Source organism: Homo sapiens, chromosome 12 (assembly GCF_000001405.40).
Source record: "Homo sapiens chromosome 12, GRCh38.p14 Primary Assembly".
NCBI lineage: Eukaryota > Metazoa > Chordata > Mammalia > Primates > Hominidae > Homo > Homo sapiens.
The window spans coordinates 1851183-1872328 of record NC_000012.12 but is presented as its reverse complement, the minus strand read 5'-3'; the positions used below and the strand labels follow the sequence as shown (position 1 = coordinate 1872328).

Below are 21146 nucleotides of genomic sequence, written 5' to 3'. Positions count from 1 at the left end.
CAAACCCAGAAACCTATGGGGCCAAACTTGTATTTGTTAATAAACACGAGTAAGAGAAGCAGACAGGCCTCCGTGCAGGGGGCTCTGGGAACTGTGGCAGATGAGAGAACACACACCATCTGCAGGAGACGGCTAAGACCCATGTTTGAAACATGTGCAACTCATTCCAAAAATGTTAAAAACACAACCTGGGCCAACATCTAGGATGTTAAACTCGTAAGAAGCCCAGTTTTGGCTGGCGGGCCTCCCATTTGCCACTTTGATGGCAGGGGTTTTGTCCCAAATTGCAGACCAGTAACAGGTGCCACAATTTCTAACCCATCAGCAGCATGCTGGCCAGACACCCTCAGACACAAGTTTAAAAGAAGAAAGCAGAAGAGCAAAGTGTCCTGGAGTCTAACCTAGGAGTCGTTCTGTCATTCTCGTTTTTGATCATTTCAAACAATAATTAGCAATGGGGGAGGGAAGGGGCAGACAGAGTGTTCCTTCCTAGCCTCTGGGTTCTTCCAAATTAACTGCACTGACTGGAGTCCACGCATGAATATGCACACACAGCAGCAGCACACATGTACATATACCAGCAGCACACGTGTATTGTACACACATGCCAGTTGCATACACGTGTACACACACACCAGCAGCACATGTGTACACACATACCAGCAGCACACACGTGTACACACACCAGTAACACGCGTGTACACATGCACACACGAGCGGCATACATGTGTACACACATACACCAGCAACACACACGTACACACACCAGCACACACGTGTACACACGCACACATCAGTGGCACACATGTACACACACACCAGCAACACACACATGTACATATGCACACACTAGCAGCACACACGTGTACACACACACCAGCAACATACAGGTGTACACACACCAGTGGCACACATTTGTACACACACCAGCAGCACGTGTACACACACACCAGCAGCACACACATGTACACACACCAGCAACACACGTGTACACATGCACACACTAGCAGCACACACGTATACACACACACCAGCAACATACAGGTGTACACACACACCAGTGGCACACATTTGTACACACACCAGCAGCACATGTGTACACACACATACCAGAAGCACACACATGTACACACACCAGCAACACGTGTACACAGGCACACACCAGCAGCACACATGTGTACACACACACCAGCAACACACGTGTACATATGCACACAACAGCAGCACACACGTACACACACACCAGCAACACGTGCGTACACACCACCAGCAACACACACGTATACACACACACACCAGCGGCTGGCATTCAGAGCAGCTTTGCCTCGTGTTCCTCCAGTGCCCTTGAATCCCTGCACCCTGGATTTCAGGAACACAGGGCTAGAGTACTCTGTGACGTGCTCTTACACTGTCTTTCTCTCTCTCTCTTCCCCTCACATTTTTGTCCGGCAGAAGGAGTCAGTGTATTAAAGGAGCAGATTGCTCAGATACCTCTTTACTCCCAGCCTCGTCTTCCAGACCTCTCGCGCTCTCTCTTTCTGTTAACAGAATTCACAGACCCCCTCCCAACCCCCCACACCCCTTCTCTCTTCCTTTTACTTCAGCCTTAAAAGGTGATCTCAAAGTTCATTTGAGTAAGGTGTAGCTTGACTAGACTCACCCTTCAGCAGATAACAATTATAAACTCTGAACAAAATACAAAAAACAAAAACGGAAAGGCACTTGAAAGCGACCAAAAGCAGGCAGCAACAACCCTTGAATCAAGAGAACTGCATTGGGTGTGATATGCGTTTTGATGGCTCTTTTTCCCAAAGGGCACTCCCCAGTCTGTCTGGAGCGCAACAGCTAGAATTCAAGCAGAAGGCTGCAAGGTTGTCACCGTGAAGTGTCAGAGAACAGAATTTGCATTTCCAGAGTGTCTGGAAATGAGGAGGGCTAGCCCAGAAGCAGCGAGCCACAGGGAGGCTAGACCCCAAATCTGTTTACAAACTCCTCTGAAATTCCTGGCTGACTCCTGAGCCCTGCAGACACAGGGAAGCCTCGAGGTGCCCCAGTGGAATGCAACACGGAAAGCCGAAAGCAGGATTCCAGAGCAGGATCTCAACACGGGATCTCAGCTTTTGCACGTGTAGTAGGGACAGTTTGGAGTGTGAGTCACACAGAGGTGGAGGGGCTTGGTAAACACCTCAGGATTTCCTTTGAAAGCACAGAAGAACTACACCTTAGGAGTAAAGACTGTCCCACGACCAAGAGATTCGCCCTAGGCCTAAAGACAAAGCTGAGACAGACCCACCCAAACAAAATGTGAATTCAAGCCTCTATATGCTCAGTTCTTATCAACCCATCATTTAACTACTGCTTAATACAAAAACACCTTCAAAGGAAGACAAGAGTATCTACAGCCTACCCCTCAAATATCCAGTATATAATAAAAAGTGTTATGACCCAGCTGTTAGAATTAGAATGACTTTAGTGCAGACATTGTAACTGTGTAAAGGAAAAGATGTTCATAATGAGGGAACAGATGGAGAATCTCAGCGGAGAAATGGTTAGGGCTTGGTCAAAGAACAGAGCCCCTGGGAGTGATAGAATGTAGGATTTTATCGTAGGGATTAGACCTTATGAAACTGTGGGAGCTGTTTATGAAATCTATGGAAAGCTGGTGTCTGCATCCAATGGTGAGCTTGAAGTCATTGTAGGTCAGCATGACCAGCAGTTGGGAAGGAAAGCTGGATGAGATGTGGAAGAAAGCAAGAACGAACTGGAACTCAAGAGGAAAAACAGGAATCCGTGAAAACAAACTGAAACCCACATCTGTCACTCACCAACTCTACCCATCAGGATGGCAGATGACCCGCAGACGGAGCCAGTGCCTTCCATGAGGAGCTGCATCCTCACCAGGTTAGGTCTCAGGGAAACTGAAGGAGGAGAGCCAGCAGCAGCGGGTGGCTTTGAATCTGGCTTCGGCCCATGCCTAGAAAGCACGACGGTAGGTTACAGCAAAGAGTGGCAGAGCCTGGTATTCTGTGCGGACTTCAGTGTGCAAAACGGCTACTGCTGCACTTCTGTCTGCAAATCTCACACACACTTCTCTTTGGCTGACCCTGACTCGAAACCACACTGGGCATTGAGTCTGGAAGTGTAGTTCCAGCTTAGCTAATTTGACACAGTACAAAATCATTATAAGAACCAAACAGGAATTTTTTTCTTGCTTTAGACCTGCTTTTCGATTGTATATATTTAAGGTGCACAACGTGATGCGCAGTCATCCCTCAGCATCCATGGGGATTGGACCAGGACACCCCAAAGATACCAAAATCCATGGATGCCCCAGTCCCTTCTATTAAATGGTGTAGATTTATGTGTAATCTACACAGTCTTCCCTAATACGTTAAATCATCTCCAGATTACTTATAAAACCTAATACAGTGTAATTGCTATATAAATAGCTACACTGTATTGTTTAAGGGATAATGACAGAAAAAGTCTGTACATATTCAGTACAGATGCAACTATCCTTTTTTCTGGAATACTTTTTGATCCACAGTTGATCGAATCCAGGGATGTGGAACCTGTGGATATGGGAGGACCAACTGTACTTATCTTGATATACAAAGTGAAGTGAAGGGATGACTACAGTCAAGCAAATTAGCATACCCATCATCTCATATAGTTACCTTTGCTTTAGCCTGTGTGTGGTAAGGACACCTAAACTCTGTGCTCTTGGCCAGTTTCCAGTGTACAATACAATACAATACAATGAACTCTAGTCCTCATGTTGTACATTAGAGCTCTAGCCTTAGTCATCCTAGATAATCACAACATGGTACCTTTTGACCAACGTTTTCTCATTCCCCACCTCCCACCGTGCCTTCCCCTGCTGCTAGTAACCACCATTTTTCTCTGTTTCTATGTATTCCATTTTTATTTTAGATTCCACATATAAGTGAGATCACGCAGCATTTTTTTCTGTGTCTGGCTAATTTCACGTAGCATAATGTCCTCTAGGTTCATCCATGTTGTAGCAAATGGCAGAATCTCCTTCTTTGTTAAGGCTGAATAATATTCCTCTGTATTTATAAGCACTACAATTTCTTTATGCATCCATCAACAGATACTTCAGTTGTTTCAATATCTTGGCTATCAATGGTGCAATGAACATGGAAGTGCAGGTATCTTTATGAGGTGGTGATGTCCTTTCCCTTGGGTATATACATGGAAGTGGGACTCCTGGGTCACATGGCAGTTCTACTTTTCATTTCTTTAGGCTCCTCCATATTGTTTTCCACAGTGGTTGCACCAACCTACATTCCCACCAACAGTGTACAAAGGTTCCCCTTTCTTCACACCCTTGTCTACACTTATTTCTTGTCTTTTTGGTAGAAGCTATCCTAAGAGGTATGAGGTGGCATCTCATTGTGGTTTGGGTTTGCATTTCTCTGATGATCAATGATGTTGAGCAGCTTTTCAAATATCTGTTGGCCATTTTATGTCTTCTTTTGAGAAAGGTCTATTCAGGTCCATATTTAAATCAGATTATTTGGATGTGTGGGGTGGTGGTGTTGTTTTTTGGTTTTTTTGCTGTTGAGTTGTGTGGGTTCCTTATATATTTCGGATATTATAAAATATTTGCAAACCATATATTTTATAAGATTTTTATGTCCCTTATAAAATGTGCAAATATTTTCTCCCAATCCATAGGTTGCCATTTCATTTTATTGATTGTTTGCTATGCAGAAGGTATTAGTCACTTTTTATTTTAGCTGTTGTTTCTTATGCTTCCAAATGAAAATTTTAAAACCAAAAAGTACCGTATCTGAAACGAAAGCTTTACTGGATAGGCTTCCCAGCAGGTTGTAGAATAAAGGGACAGTGAACTTAAAGATGGATCAGTAGAAATTATCCAATTTAAAAACCAGGGGGAAAATGGGGAAAAAGACAGAGAAAGAAACAGAACTTCAGCAACCTGTGAGATGGTATCAAGTGGTCTAATTACATGTTCTTGGAGCCCTAGAAGGTAAGGAGAAAAACTCAAGCAGAAAAAAAGCATATTTGAAAAACTAATTGTCAAAAATGTCCTGAATTTGACATAAAACAGCAATCTACAGATCCAAGAATCTCAGCAAACCCCAAGCAGGATAAAAAGACAAAGAGAACCACATCTGGGTACTTCATAGTCCAGCTACTAAAATCCAAAGGTAAGAGAAAATCTTCAAAAAAGCTAAAGGAAAAAAGATGCATTACATAAAGGGAAACAATAAGACTGCTGTATATAAGAACCAACAAAATAACATCGTTAAAGTGCCAAGAGAAGAAAAAACTGTCTACTCAAATTTCTGTAGAAAGAGAAAATACACTTCAAAAATAAGGATAATGTCTTCGGTAAGGACATTTTCAGGCCGGGGCAGTAGCTCACACCTGTAATCCCAGCGTTTTGGGAGGCCAAGGAAGGAGGATCACTTGAGCCCAGGAGTTCGTGACCAGCCTGGACAACATAGGGAGACCCCATCTCTACAAAAAAATACAAAAAAAAAAAAAAAATTAGCCAGGTGTGGTGGCATGCACTTGTAGTCCCACCTACTCAGGAGATTGAGGCGGGAGAATCACTTGAGCCCAGGAGGTTGAGGCTGCAATGAGCTGTGATCATGCCACTGCACTCCAGCTTGGGCAACAGAGTGAGACTATGTCTCCAAAACAAACAACAAAAAAAGACATTTTCAGATAGAAGGAAACAGAGGTTTCATTATTATCAAGACCAGCAGCAAAAATGCTTCAGAAAATTCTTTAGGCTGAAATAAAGTGACATCAACTGCAGGTCTACAGGACAGAATCAACCATACTGGAAATGATAAATAATGTGGGTTAATAAAAGACTATATTTTATTTATTCTCTTAATTTCTCAAAAAGACAACTGACTATTTAAAGCAAAAGTTTCGATGTTGCATTGTGGGGTTTGTAATATATGTAAGTGTAAATTATATGGCAACAATAGCACATAGCAGAGTTATCTCAAAAATTTAAAGTTAATTTAACATTGAAAAAATTAATCAGTCAGTGCAATTTATTACATTAACAGAATAAAAAAGAAAAGATAGAGGGTAATCTCAATAGATGCTAAAAGAGCATTTGACAAAATTTAAGAACAGAAAGAAACTTCTTCCCTCTGATGAAAGGCACCTATGAAAAACCTGGAGCTAACTTTTGATGGTAAAATATTGAACACTCTCACCCTAAAATTGAGAACAAGGCAAGGAGGACTTCTCACCACTTCTATTCAGCCTTGCACTGTAGGTCCCAGCCCCTGCAGTAAGGCAAGAAAACAAAATAAAAGGCACAAAGACAAGGAAGGAAGAAGTAAAACTGCCTTCATTCAGGGACAAAATTATTGTTTCCATAGAACATCCCAAGAATCTACAAAACAAACACTAGAACTAATAGGTAAGTTTAGCAAGTTCAGAGAACACGATTTTATAAAAATTAATGTTATTTGCATATATAGCAGCAAACAGAAAATGGAATATTTTTGGTCCAGGAACGCCACCGTCCTTCAGGCCAGCGCCCCGCAACCGCCTCCCCGCGCCCCGGTTCCCCACACACCGGCTCCCCTCGCGCCTGCCGCCCGGGCTGCATCTGGTGGAGCCCCCGGCTGCCCCTGGTGCTGCTGCTGCTGCTGGGCCTCGTGCGTGGTGCAGCCGCAGCGGATGCGGTGAAAAAGGGCAACGGGACAGCCTGCGTAATGGCCAGCTTCGCTGCCTTCTCGATGAACTACGACTCTAAGAGTGGCTCTAAGAATGTGACCTTTGACCTGCCATCCAATGCGGAAGTGCTTGACAGTGGCTCTTGCAGTAAAGAGAACACTTCCGACCCCAGGCACGCGATTGTGCTTTGGAGGAAGACAGACACTGACCTTCCATTTCACAAGAAGTGCGACACGTGACAGCGTCCAGCTCATGAGTTTTGTTTACAACTTGTCAGACACACACATTTTCCTCAGTGCAAGCTCCAAGGAAATCAGGACTGTGGAATCTCTACCAGATATCAAGGCCCCCAGGTCCGCACGAACAGCGAGACCATCAGGCTCCGCGGTGCCCCGATCCAGGCCTAGATTTCCAACAGCAGCTTCAGCAAGGGAGAGACGCGCCACGAGCAAGACGCGCCTTCCCCGCCACGGCGCCGAGAGCCCCTTCTCCCCTCCGTGGCCAGGTACAGCGTGAGCGGCACCCACGGGGCCTGCCTGCCGGCCAGCGCGGGACTGCAGCTGAACCTCACCCAGAGAGGAGGGACCACGCGACGGTGACCTGGGCATGACCTCAGCCAGCGGGAGCGCGGCGCCCACCTGGAGACCCGGGAGCGGCGCGGCGAGGGCACCACGGTCCTGGGCTTCCGGTTGGGGATGAATGCAGGTTCTAGCCGGATTTTCCTACGAGGAATCCAGCTGAATACGACTCTTCCTGACCCCAGAGACCCCACTTTTAAAGCTGCCAACGACTCCCTGCGAGCATTGCGGGCAGCCATCGGCAATTCTACAGCCGGAGCGGAGCGTGTCCGCGGCACGAAGGCGTTTTCAATCAACATATTCCCAGTGTGGGGCCAGGCTTTCAAGGTGGAAGGCAACCAGTTCGGATCTGCGGAGGAGCGTCTGCTGGGCGAGAACAACACGCCGATCCCCATCGCCGTCGGCGGCGCCCTGGTGGGACTGGGCCTCCTCGTTCTCATCGCCCACCTTGTCGGCAGGAAGAGGAGTCACCCGCACGGCAGCAGGCACAGAGCTGCTGGGGTCTCTGTTCATCCCCCTGGGCTTAGGGTCCTGAGACAGAGGCACACTTTCTGGCAAACATTTCTCAAATGTGCTTCATCAAATGGGATGTTCATCTTGCAGCATTTGCCATACACGGCAGAGTAACTATGGAAATGACGGTGTTAATTTTGCTAACTGGGTTAAATATTTTGCCAACTGGTTAAACATTCGTATTTACCAAAATAGAACTCTAAGGGACGGTGGTAGTGCTTCTCAACATTGGCACTGGCTCCATTGTCATTCGACTTTAAAATGTCCGGGGTTGGTTTCCTCATTCTTTGCTGCACTCAGATTTAAGCCTTACAAAGGGAGAGTCTCCGGCCTTCACGCTTAGGAGCCTGAAGGTCGGCTCACCGTTAGGCTGACATGCTCATGAAATTACAAACAGTAGAGAGGGAAAATCCTAAGACAGAAGAACTCCAAAGATAAACGGGCCTGGCCGCCTTTTAAAGATGAGCGGAAGCACTCCAGACATTTGTCTTTGGACGGGATGGGCCCGGCCACTCACGGCTGGCGGCCACGTTCCAGCGAAGGCACCTGGTGGCATGTCCTCCCGCATTTCCGAAACTCTGCTGCTCAAGGGCTGGCACTTTTTAAAATATGAAAATGGGTGTTATTATTTTTTTTTTTTTGTAAAGTGATTTTCAGTCTTCTGTTGACATTCAGGGTGATCCTGTTTCTGCGCTGTGTACAATATTAGATAGATATTATCTACTGATGTGTCTGCTGTGGCTTGGGATGGTTGTACACAGGACCAGCTCACATAATGCATTGCCTGTAACAATGCTAACGAAAAGTGTCTTTCTCCAAAAAGAAAGAAAATGAAATATTTTAAAGTTCCAATGACAATAGCATCAAATAACATAAAATACTTAGGAATAAATTTAACAAACGTATATATGACCTCTACACTGAAAACTACAAAACATTGCGGAAAGAATATCAAAGAAAAAAGTAAATATAGAAAGATATAACTCTGTTTATGGGTTAAGATCAGTATTGTTAACACATTCATTCTCCCCAAATTGATTTATAGATTCAACGCAATCCGATCAAAATTTGAACAGACTCCTAGAAACAGACAAGCTGGTTCTAAAATTTATATGAAAATGCAGAGGACCTAGAATAGGCAAAATTATCTTGAAATAGAAGAACAAATTTGGACAATTCACAGTATCTGATTTCAAAACTTACTATAAAGCTACAATAACCAAGCTGGGTGGTATTGACCAAAGAATAGACAAATGGGTCAATGACCTGAATAGAGAACCCAGAAATAGCCCACACATATATTATCAATTGATTTTTCAATCAAGACACCTTGGAGTGTCATTGGAGCAAGGCAATCTTTTCAACAGATGGTCCTAGAACAACTGAATAAATGTATGGGGGAGGGGAAACATTGAGCCATAGCTCATACCACATACAAAAACTAATTGGATGAATCATAACCTTCAATGTAAAAGCTAAAACTGTAAAGCTTTTACAAGAAAAAATAGGGGAAAATCTTCTCAACCTGAGGATATGCAAAGATTTCCTAGGCAAAAACACAGAAAGCACTAAACATGAAATAAAATCTGATAAACTAGACTTCATTGAAAGTAAAAGTTCTGCTCCTCAAAAGGCACCAGTAAGAAAATGAAAAAGCAGGCAGACTTGTATCCAAAATACATAAAGAACTCCTACAAAGCAATAACAAAAAGACTAAAGCCAAATAAAAAATGCTCAGAGCACTGAGCAGACACTTCGTAAAGGAAGCTGTGCAAGGATGCTCAACATTAGTCATCAGAGAAATGCAAATCAAAACTACAAGACTTAGCCGGGCACGGTGGCTCATCCCTCTAATCCCAACACTTCGGGAGGCCGAGGTAAGCAGGTCGCTTGAGGCCAGGAGTTCAAGACCAGCCTGGCCAACATAATGAAACCCCGTCTCTACTAAAAATACAAAAATTAGCTGGGCATGGTGGTGTGTGCCTGTGGTGCCAGCTACTCAAGGGCTAAGGCATGAGAATTGCTTGAACCCGGGAAGCTGAGGCTGCAGTGAGACAGCCTGGCGACAGAGTGAGACTCTGTCAAAACAAAACAAAACAAAACAAAAACCAAAAAACTGCAAGATTCTCTATAGTGGCTAAAATTTAAAAGACTAATAACACCAAATACTGGCAGCGCTGTGGAGAAATTGGAACTCTCAGACATTGCTAATAGGAGCATAAAATGGCAAAACACCTTTGGGAAATTGGCAGTTGTCTTATAAAGGTAAACATACATTTACCATGTGATCCAGATTCCATTCCTAGATTTTTACCAAGAGAAATGCAAACACATGTCCCAGGATATTTATGGTAGCTTTATTCACTATAGCCCCAAAGGAGGAACAACTGAAATATACCAAAATATCCATCAATCGATGAGCGTAGAAGCATACTGGGCCGTGTCCACACACTGCGATACTACTCAGCAGCAGAAAGGAACAAACTACTGGACGGACAGCAATATAGACGGACGCTGAAAACATTATTTTGAACAAAAGAAGCCAGACGCAGTTTTTGTGTGTGTCATACTATAAGAACAGGCAAAACCAATCTATGGTGACAGAATCCAGAACAGAGTTTGCCTGTGAAGGAGTGGGATGGGATGGACCAGAAGGGGTAGGCAGAGAGACTGGAGAGGCTGTTCTGTACCTTGACAGGTTGGTAATCACAGGGCTGGATACATGTATCGAAGCTAATTAGGTAATACATGGAAGATCTGTGCATCCACCCTTTCCTTCAATTAAAAAAAAAGATAGGCCGAGCATGGTGGCTCACGCCTGTAATCCCACCACTTTGGGAGGCCGAGGCAGGTGGATCACCTGAGGTCAGGAGTTTGAGATCATCCTGGCCAACATGGTGAAACCCCGTCTCTACTAATAATACAAAAATTAACTGGGTGTGGTGGCGTGTGCCTGTAATCCCAGCTACTCTGGGGGCTGAGGTGGGAGAATTGCTTGAACCCAGGAGGCGGAGGTTGCAATGAGTCAAGATCACGCCATTGCACTCCAGCCTAGGTGACAAGAGGGAGACTCCATCTCAAAAAAAAAAAAAGAGTAAAAATAAAAAAATGATCTCCAGTTCTGACACTCCAGCCAGCTGCTCCTTGGAGCACAGGGCACCCAACTCCCCCAAGACATCTTCCAGGACATCCCACGACCGCTGCAATAGAGAGAAGCTACAGAGAGGGTCTGACTGGGCAGAGGAGCCAGAGGGCATGACCAGGGGATGGGTCCAGTTTTGTGAAAGGTGCATTCTGATTTGGCATAAAGCCAGTTTCCTAGAGAAAGCAAGGCTTTTGTTGCCGTCCTCTCTCTCTGTGTCCCTTCTGACACCTCGCTCCAGTTTCCAAAATCAAAGAAGGAAAGTCAGAAAGAAGTAAAGGGAATAAGAACAAGTCCTGGGCCAACTGCAAAATGTGGCTTTCCCAATGACATGAACTTGTGTGGTGGACAGGACAATCCACAGAACCTCAGCACCCCGAATGCACCCTCACGGCAGCCTCGTGCAAGAGAGGCCGTGGACAATCCTGATTTACAAATGAGAACTCGAAGTGAAGTAACTTGCTCAAGAGCACACAGGTCGAAAGTGGCTGAGCTGGGCTTCAATCCTGGTTCATCTAAGCCCAGCCATGCCCTTAGCCACTTTTGTACTACATGATGCCCTAGTTTATACAAAGTAAACCAAGGCTAAAAGATGGCAGCTTAGAAAGGAAAAGGAAGTTGTGAAAGGGTCCCGTGGCCCGGGCATGGATGACAGTGGAGGGAGAATGGTGCACCCCTTCTCCCTGGGTGTCTTTGAGGGCGAGGAGGTTTAAGTGGATTGTGTATGTATACATGGGCTCCAGAAGTTCTTAGCACACACTGACAGCCCCAACCTCAACCCTCTAGGAACCATAGAGTCATGGTCTACATCAGCACTGCCCAATATAGCCGCTAGCCACATGTGCTAACTAAGTTTAAATTTATGCCAACTAAAATCTGAAAATTCAGTTCCTTGGCCACACATTTCAAGTGCTCAGTGCTGCTTAGGGGCTATCGTGATGGGCAGTGCAGGTCCAGACCTTGATCCTGAAATCCAGGCCACGCCCCAAAGGGCTGCAGTTTGCTGCACCTAGAGAGGATCTGCCTATGGGTGTCACTAGGATGAGGTGTGTAGGGGCTGGTCAGGGAGGAGACAAGAAGGCGGAGGGACTGTACAGTGACGATGAAGACCCCAAGAGCCCTGGGGGCGAGGTGGGGGCTGGGGGCCGCTCTTCTCTGCGTGAGCACTCTTTCCTTGTCTACTCTTTCAGAAGCGAGTTCTTTTCCTGACCAATGACTACTTCTTCACGGACATCAGCGACACCCCTTTCAGGTGAGGGACACAGGCTTTATTTGCACGGGGTGAGGGTTGAACATGAATACCAGCAACTCATATTTAGTTGGCAATTTTGTGGTAATAGCAAAAGACCCAGGTCAGCATCCAGGAAACTTGAGGTGTAGACCTGCTTTGCCAGTGTAGCCTAGAATGCAGGTTCCAGAGCCAAACTGCCTGGACGTGAACCCCAGCTCTACCATTTACAGGCTGTGTAAACTTGGTCAAGTGTATGTCCTGTGCTATGCTCCTGTGGGCCCCAGGCAAGCCCCGCCCCTTCAGATGCTGTTGTTATTTCACTGCTCATCAGCGTCCAGCAGCCAAGCTGCCTTAACAGGTCATTTCCCCGAGGGCGGTTAGCCCTGTCTCTGAGAAGAGGCTCTGAGGTCCAGCACTCCCTGCTTTACTGATGCGTCACCTCTGCCTCCTACAACTCTGTTAACAGGTCTTTGAGTTTCACTTAACTTCTCTGTGCCTTAGATTTCGATCTGTAAAATGGGGGTGACAATAACTGCTGCTTTTTGGTGATGTTGTGAAGATTAAGTGATATCATCCAGTTAAGATCCTAAAGCAGTGAGAAGAGCAAATTGGAAGATCTCAGGTTCCGTGCAACTGTAGAAATATTTGGCTCTAGGTATTAGGCAGATTAGAAAACAAGTGGTCGTTACCTCTGAATTATCTGATTTCTCCGTAAAGCCCTGGTTCCCAGCCCTGACTGCTCATTGGAATACCTGAGGAATTATGTGAAGTTGCCACTGCCCAGGCTTCATCCAAAACCAGTTTTTTTTGAGACAGGATCTCACCCCGTCTCCTAGGCTGAAGTGCCGTGGCACAAACAGCTTACTACAGCCTCCACCTCCCGGGCTCAAGCGATCCTCCCACCTCAGCCTCCCGAGTACCTGGGACAGTACAGGAGCGTGCCACCACACCCCATTAATTTTTTGATTAAAAAAAAAATTTTAGAGCTGGGGTCTCGCTGTGTTGCCCAGGCTGGCCAGACCAATTTAATCACAATTTCTGGGGGTAGAGCCCATGCACTTGCATCTTTTAAAGTTCCCCAAGAAAGTCAGATATTCAGCCAAGGCTCAAAACTGATGTTCAGCCAAGGAGAGGAAGGCACAGCAGGACTCACCGGGTAGGAAAAGGAGCTCCTGTTTGTGGGACCCCCTGTGAAACAGAGAGACTGTTCTACATTTTAGGGGATGCCTGTGAGTTTCAGGGTGTCCCTTGATGAAAATGGGAGCTGAGAGGGCTCTTGGTCTACAGAATGGCCAGGGTCCTGCTTAGGAAGGAAGGCTTCTGGGAAATTGGAAGCACCGCCTCCGTTCTGGAGGGGATGGCTGTGAGGCCAGAGGTAAAGAAGGGGGCATGAGGAGCACACCACTCGTCGTGGGTACAAAAAGCCCATACACCTAGTGTTGGTAAGGGCAAGGACGAGGCCCGGGAGACAGGCCGGCATCTGCTGCTGCTGAATGAGTGCCTTCTCTTCTCTCCCCACAGTTTGGGGGTGGTGCTGTCCCGGGGCCACGGAGAATACATCCTTCTGGGGAACACGTCTGTGGAAGAAGGTGGGTCGGTACCAGGGGCTGAGGGACAGTTAAGCAGAAAATAATGGGCTCTCATGGGACACTGGGCAGGGCCAACCCCAACCAGAGCCAGTGTGACAGCCTCCCAGCTCCCAGGCTCCAGAGCAGCCTCTCAGAACAATGCTGCCAGGTGGAGAGGGGCGTGTGTGTCCCTGGCTCCCAGGGCATGCAGGATCTGTGGGTCTGTCGTCAAACCAGCAGAGCCTGAGACCTGCCAACCGCACTGCTAGTTTCCGGGAGGCCTTGCTGGACTAGAAGGACCGTCAAGGCAGTATGTTTTTTAAACAAAGCTCAAAGCTGAAATTTCCCTGCCAGGTGACTGCAAAGGTGATGAGAAAGGAGGCCAGAAAGAGGAGGGAAGCCTGTATTCATTTGCTAAGGCTCCCAGCACAAAGTACCGCAAACATGGCATCCTAAAACCGCAGACATGTATTCTCTCACGGTTCTGGAGGCTGGAAGTCCCAAGTCAGGTGTTGGAAAGGCCGTGCTCCCCACAAAGCCTCCAGGGGAGTCCTCGCTCACCTCTTCCAGGTCTAGGAGCCTCAGGTGCTCCTCGTCTTGCAGCTGCACACTTCAGTCTCTGCTCCCTGATCCCGTGGCCTTCTCCCCTCAGCTGCCTCTCACTGTCTCCATTACCTCTTCTTATAAGGACACCACTCATATGGGATCAGGGCCTATCCTAATGATCTCATCTTAATTTGATTACTTCTGCCAAGACCCTATTTCCAAAGAAGGTCACATTCACAGGTCAGGACTTCAACATATCTTTTGAGGGACACAATTCAGCCCATACCTGGAGCTTATGGGATGCGAACCAAAGTGAGATGGCAGAGAACAGTGGTGGAGGCGGGGAGAGAAGAGCCCCATCCAACCCCATCCCTCCTGCCGGTGACTTACTGTGGCCCAATCACCTTAGGAGACCACAACCTATCTCAGGGGTCACAGATATCCCAGGAACCCCTGGAAGAGGTGGCCACTTTCTGTTTAACACCCACATACTACCCTCTGCTATCTGCTGAGTACATCTCATCACCCTGCCTTCCTACAACCATCCTGGTCATTGTCACCTCTCTTGTGGACAACCACAGTAGCTTCCAGCTGTTCTCCCTGACTCCTTTCTTCTCTGAGCTTCAGCCAGAGGGATCTTCCTAGAAATGCCAAGTCTGCCCACATCACTGCTGATGGGCCTGCTCCTCCTGGCTGCTTTGCTCTGCCCTGGAGTGCCCTCCTCTCCCAGCACACTTTGACCCACTCTCAGGCCCCAGCTTAGCTGTCATCTGTCTGGGAGCTGCCCCTGGTAGATCCCCTCTCCCGCACCTGGACTGAGTCAGGCACTAGCTGTGTGCTCACCTGGAAGCTGTGTCTGCCCTTCCACAGCACAGATCCTAGCACTGGGGCACTCTCCTCTGTTCCCCATCATCCCTAGGCCTCCATCGTGCCTTCTTCCTTCTTCCTACACATTTCTTCCTCTGCCCAGATATTCCCAGGGTGCACTCCTCCAGGAGACAGAGGGTGCTGTCTTATACCCACTCCTGGGAGTGAGACATTCCAGTGGTCAGGGGCTTGGAATCCCGGAGTCTCCTGGTCTTCTGTGGGCAAGGGAGCTCCCCTTCCAGCTGCTTGCCCTGTGTCTACATCAGAGCAGCAGCCCTTGTGAGGCTCCACAGATGCCCCACTGGCCTTTCTGTCATCCCCTCCTTGGACTTACCCTCAGTGGAGCACCTGTTCATTTCTTAGCTCTGAGTAGGTGCCATGGAGCATCAGCTCATCGTTCTTTCAGTCAACAGCGTGTACTGAGCATGAGATCAGGCTGGCTCTGTGTTAGGTGAGAGGCCGCAAAACACACAGGGCCCATCCTGGGGATGAAGCCAATGAAGCCAAAATCACTGGTTTCAAAGTATCACCTCCCTTTGAGGGAGATGCTAGGAGGAATAAGATGCAGCTTCCTCAGGGAGCTGCTGTCTGGCAGAAGCACAAGGTTATTACATGCCCATAATAACCCAAATCCAACCTGGATGGGGAGGAGGGGCATGAGGGCTGCAGGAGGAAAAGATGCTCCCACTGGCTGGGCAGCTCATTGAAGGCATGGCATTTGCCCTGAACCTTGAAGAAGGGGTAGGATTTGGACATGAAACAATGAGAAGAAAGCATTTCAGGAGGTGGGACCTGTGCAGACTTAGCCATGTTCTCCTACTGTGAGCTAAGAGCAAGAAAGAACAGACCCCAGTCCCTTTCTTTAGAAACTCACTGGGTGGCTGTTTCTACAATTGAGACACACACCCTCATGGCAGTGAGGGAGCATCACCCTGAATGTGGACTCTGGTTTCAGGCCTGCATGACTTGCTTCACCCAGACCTGGCCCTGGCCGGTGACTGGTAAGTGAGGAGTAAAAAATGGGAGGGAGACAGGTGGAATGTTTTGAGATAACACTGACTTTCCTGGGTTTCAGGATCTACTGCATCACAGATATTGACCCAGACCACCGGAAGCTCAGCCAGCTAGAGGCCATGATCCGCTTCCTCACCAGGAAGGACCCAGACCTGGAGTGTGAGTGCTGGCCGCCCACTGAGGCAAGCTTTTCCTCTGGGGCCCTGAAGTTCAGGACTTTGCCAGGAGAGGTGGGAAGGCAGGGGGAGGCTGCTGCACAGCCCTATCCCATTAGCACATGGATGGCTTAGATCAAACAGGGAGATTCCCAAAGAAAAAGGCATAGCCAGCCTTACCACAGGGCTGAGCTGGTATTTAAGCACCCTTGGAACTGTGGTAACATGTATGGATCCCCAGGTCAGGGACTGGGATCTTTTTCAGCCTCTATCCACCAAGCTCTGTTAAGGGTCAGGAGAAAGCACCATTCAGAGTCTGTCATCTTTTTCCCTACCACTGTCTAGAAGTGGACCTCTGGGCAAATGGCTGCCACTCTTCACCAGAAGTCCTCATCTCCACAAGGGGAGCATTTGGCCAGATGACTCGAAGCCTGTGGGCTCTGTTTTCTAAACCAGTTCCTCAGGCTAACCTTGCTCACCTCTTCCAGGTCTAGGAGCCCCAGGTGCTCCTTGTCTTGCAGCTGTGACACTTCAGTCTCTGCTCCATGGTCACATGGCCTTCTCACCTGCACTAATGCGAGTGGTGAGCTCATTAGGCCACATCCTCAGCTTGCTCCTCCTTCTTCCTCTTTGGAAGAAAGAGCAGGTCATCCTGTCACATAATTGTCACCCGCATAAGAAGACTGCCTCCCATGCCAACCCAACAGGGCACTTACTTACTTATTTATTCATTTCATCAACAAATCTGTACTGAGCTTGCACCCTGTGTCAGGCCCTGGGGTAGGTATTAGAGCTACAGAGATAACCCAGACAAGGCCCTTGCTATCATGGAGCTTACATTCTAGTGGAGAAGCCAGGTGATAAGCAAATAAGCCTACATATATAGATATAGGTTGTTATAAATTGTGATAAGCGCCATGAACAGGATGCTGTAGGGGAGAGAAATAGGCCTGCTTTAAAGGAGATCCTGTTAAGCCACTTGGGTGGCTCTATTGTGACACCTCCTCACCAAGGTGAGGAGGATCTCCTTTGGGGGGTGATAAAAATATTTTGGAACTAAATAGAGGTGGTGGTTGTACAACATTGTGAATGTACTAAATGCCGCTGACTGAATTGCATACTTTAAATTGGTCAGTTTCATTTTATGTGAATTTTACCTCAATAAAGATAAATAAATTTTTTAAATGAGAGAAGAAAAAGAAAGAGCCTCCATGCAAAGACTGGGAAAAAGAATATCCAGATCAAGGGAAACAGCATGTATAGGGGCTCTGAGGTAAGGAGGAGCTTGGCAAGGTCAAATTCACAGAACTGGCCAGGGGCAGTGGCTCATGCCTATAATGCCAGCACTTTAGGAGGCCAAGGTGGGCAGATCACTTGAGGTCAGGAGTTCTAGATCAGCCTGGCCAACATAGTGAAACCTTGTCTCTACAAAAATTACAAAAATTAGCCAGGTGTGGTGGTGTGCACCTGTGGTCCCAGCTACTTGGGAGGCTGAGGCAGGAGAATTGCTTAAACCTGGGAGGCGGAGGTTGAAGTGAGCCAAGATCATGCCACTGTACTCCAGCCTGGGCAACAGAATGAGACTCCATCTCAACAACAACAACAACAAAAAATTCACAGAACTGACCAAAGGCCAAGGTGTCTGGATGGTTAAGAAGCAGATGAGGAAGAGTTGAGATGGGGGAGACTGGGAAGATCCAACCTGAGGTCACTGAGGGTCTCCTAAGTTCATCAGATGTTACAATTGGAAAGAGCCTCAGATATCAAGCTGTTGTACTGACATATTTTTTGGAGTTGAGAAAGTGAAGACAGACAGAGGTGAGGCAGCTCCCTCAAGCTCACAGAGATAGTTTTACATGTCCCATAGACACGTTCAGGAAGCACATCTTCTCCCTGAACTTAGGATGGGAGAGTTGTGTTCATGAGCATGGAGGAAGCATGTGGCCTGGTTCCCTGATGTTTTGCACCCAGGTGACGAGGAGCTGGTCCGGGAGGTGCTGTTTGACGCGGTGGTGACAGCCCCCATGGAAGCCTACTGGACAGCGCTGGCCCTCAACATGTCCGAGTAGGTCCAGGTTCCCAGGTTCCCAGGCCCCAACCAGCCCCCAGAATTCCCTTGGCTAAGTTGGGACCCCTCTCACCATCTGGCTGGTGGCTCAGGAGAGAACCCACGTCCTTTGGCCTAAGATTAAGTGGAGGTCCCCCTGGGCACTGGACTAAATCCCCACCCCAGGATAGTCCCATTCCGACAGCTCCTTTCTCTGGGTTGGACTCCAGCCATGAGACTTCAATGGCCAAAATGCCCCTGGCCAAAGAGCAGTTCAAATAGGTTTCCAGCAGGTAAGGTCATGGCACCAATGAACTTGACCTCGGTTTTCCCAGCCCCTTAGAAATCCTCGCTCCCTTTGCTGGTCTTCTCCTGATACTATTGTGTTTAGTGGCCTGGTAGAAAGAAGATGAGTGGCATGTGAGTGTGAGTGTAGGGCATGTGTGTGCCCATGAGTGTTGGGGGGCAGAGTAAGGTATTAATGAGGTTAAGGTTGCAGTGGGTCATACCTTGCTCCTGAATAGGAAGATTCAACATTGTGAAGATGTCAAACCTCCTCTACACAGTCAATAAATTTAAGCACATAATTAGATACTAGAAAATTAAAAATTAGTTTTTTAGTGCTATCCTAATAAAAAACACCTACAGAATTTTATAGGGACAGTCTCCTATTGAAAAAAGCAAGATGTGGAATGCTACCATTCTACATAGTATAGTACGCTACCTTTTCTGTAAAAAGTGGGTGCCATAGTATTTGTGTGGATTATATAGATAACATCTATGATCTGTATACTGTCTACGCAAGGCTACTCAGGAAACATTCCTCATTAGCTGTTTCTGGTTGGAAAATGGGTAACTGAAACAGGGATGGAAGGGACACTTTTCACCCTAACATGTTGGTGTAATTTTGAACCATATGAATATATGACCTATACAAAATTAGAATAAAGAAAGAAAAACAATCTAGTGGGCCAGGCACTGTTCTGAGTGCTTAGTGTATATAACCCATTTGATCCTCACCGCAGTCCTCACCCACACAGGAGCTCTCATTACTGCCATTTGACAGATGAGGAAAACAAAGCATAGCGAGATCAAGCAACTCGCCTGAGGTCATACGCCTCGAAAGTGGCAGAGCTGGAATCAACAGCAGGCAGCCTCACTCCTGCGCCCCGACTCTTAAACCCTGCACTGTTGTGCCTTCTACAGAGGGCTGGAGCAAATAGGTTTGGAGAGGGGCACCATCTTCATCTTTCCAACCTCAGAGATTAGTCAGTGATGATTTTTAATGTGGAGAAATATTGAGAAGGAAATATTCTTAACCAGAGCATGCTTCAGAAAAGACTTCCTAGGAAGTTAATATAAAATAGCATACAGTTAAGGAGAAAAAAATACATAACCATCTCCAAAGATATAGAAAAGGCATTAAATAAATATTAATATTCATTCATTTAAAAAAATTTTGTAGAGATGGGGGTCTCTCTATGTTGCTCAGGCTGGTCTTGAACTCCTGGCCTCAAACAACCCTCCCACCTCAGCCTCCCAAAGTGATGGGATTACAGGCATGAGCTGCCATGCCCAGCCATACCATTCTTGTTCATTAAAGCCACTCAGTAGAATTAAAATTGACCTAAGCATGAAAGTAACATCTTAATGGGGCTAGAGGCTCTCTCACTAAAGACAGGAACAAGACAAGCATGCCTACTTCCCCATTGCTATTTAACAAGGCCAGAAGGAATTAGACAAGAGAAAGCAAGCAGAGGCAATTAGAATTGGAAAGAAAGAAGTAAAATTGTCGCTGTTTAAAGATGACATAATTATATATCTGGAAACCCCAGAAGAATTAATAAGAAAATTACTATACCCAATGAGAGAATTTAGTAAAATAGCAGGTTATAATATCAACATTCAAAAATTAATAGCCTTTATCTACACACAAAAAAGATAGAAGATATGAGAAGGCTTATTTTAAAAGGCAAGAAATAATACATGATAAAGTTATAAGACTACAAGAACATACGACATAAACTATAAGAACTGTTCAAAAACCTATATAAGGAAAATTATGAAACACTCCTGAAAACACAAAAGTAGAGGCTGGAACACATGGAAAGACAGTGTTTTTGGATACGAGACTTCAACATCATAAAGATATTAATCCTCCCTAAGTTAATGTTAACCCCAATGAAAACACCGTCAGTCTTTTTCTGCATCTAGATAAACTGATTATCAAGTTCATTTGGAAGAACAAGCAAGAATAACCAGGAAATCTCTGGAAAAAAAAAAAAAAAACGCACACACACACACACACACACACACAAACACACACCAAAAAAAGCAAAGAAGGGAGGTTGGGCCTACCAAGATATTAAAACACATGACAAAGCCTCTGAGGTTTATAAAGTATGGTATTGGCACAAGAAAAGGCAGGCAGACCACAGGAACCCAAAAGGAAATCCGGAAACTCATCTAAATGCATGTGAAAATTTAGTCTATGACAGAGGCATCCTGTCAAATCAATGAAGGAAAGATGGATTTTTAAATAACCGGTTTGAGAGCCATATGGAGAATGATAAAATTATGTTCTTTTCTCACACCATACACCTGGACGAAGTCCAAATGACTCAGAGATTCAAATGTAAAAAATGAAGCCATATAAATACTAAAGGAAAACATGAGCCAATTGCTCTAAAATCTAGGAGTGGGGAAACCTTTCCCAACAATGACTCAAAATTCAGAAGCAATAAAGGAATGACGGATAAATTTAACAACATTAAAAATGTTTCTGT

The 21146-nt window shown here is 46.3% G+C and overlaps 1 protein-coding gene and 1 pseudogene across 5 annotated transcripts in view, besides 2 other annotated features; both read left to right on the top strand.

Moving 5' to 3' along the window:
* The window catches only part of CACNA2D4 (calcium voltage-gated channel auxiliary subunit alpha2delta 4), a 126690-nt gene that overhangs the window by 46324 nt on the left and 59220 nt on the right, over positions 1 to 21146 (top strand). For all 5 annotated transcript variants that reach the window (NM_172364.5, XM_047429897.1, XM_011521041.3 and 2 more), the window contains 5 exons: positions 12123 to 12184; positions 13685 to 13752; positions 16100 to 16145; positions 16220 to 16317; positions 18285 to 18378. In NM_172364.5, the coding sequence (NP_758952.4) occupies positions 12123 to 12184; positions 13685 to 13752; positions 16100 to 16145; positions 16220 to 16317; positions 18285 to 18378 (368 nt within the window). The remainder of the gene's footprint in view (positions 1 to 12122; positions 12185 to 13684; positions 13753 to 16099; positions 16146 to 16219; positions 16318 to 18284; positions 18379 to 21146) is intronic.
* Positions 713 to 1212: an enhancer, noted in NCBI's record as "H3K4me1 hESC enhancer chr12:1980283-1980782 (GRCh37/hg19 assembly coordinates)". NCBI's record gives its function as "activates a minimal SCP1, AML or CMV promoter by ChIP-STARR-seq in naive H9 embryonic stem cells {active_cell/tissue: H9 hESC(naive)}" and the evidence as "EXISTENCE:reporter gene assay evidence [ECO:0000049][PMID:30033119]".
* Positions 1213 to 1714: an enhancer, noted in NCBI's record as "H3K4me1 hESC enhancer chr12:1979781-1980282 (GRCh37/hg19 assembly coordinates)". NCBI's record gives its function as "activates a minimal SCP1, AML or CMV promoter by ChIP-STARR-seq in naive H9 embryonic stem cells {active_cell/tissue: H9 hESC(naive)}" and the evidence as "EXISTENCE:reporter gene assay evidence [ECO:0000049][PMID:30033119]".
* Positions 6535 to 7046, top strand: LAMP1P1 (lysosomal associated membrane protein 1 pseudogene 1; annotated as a pseudogene).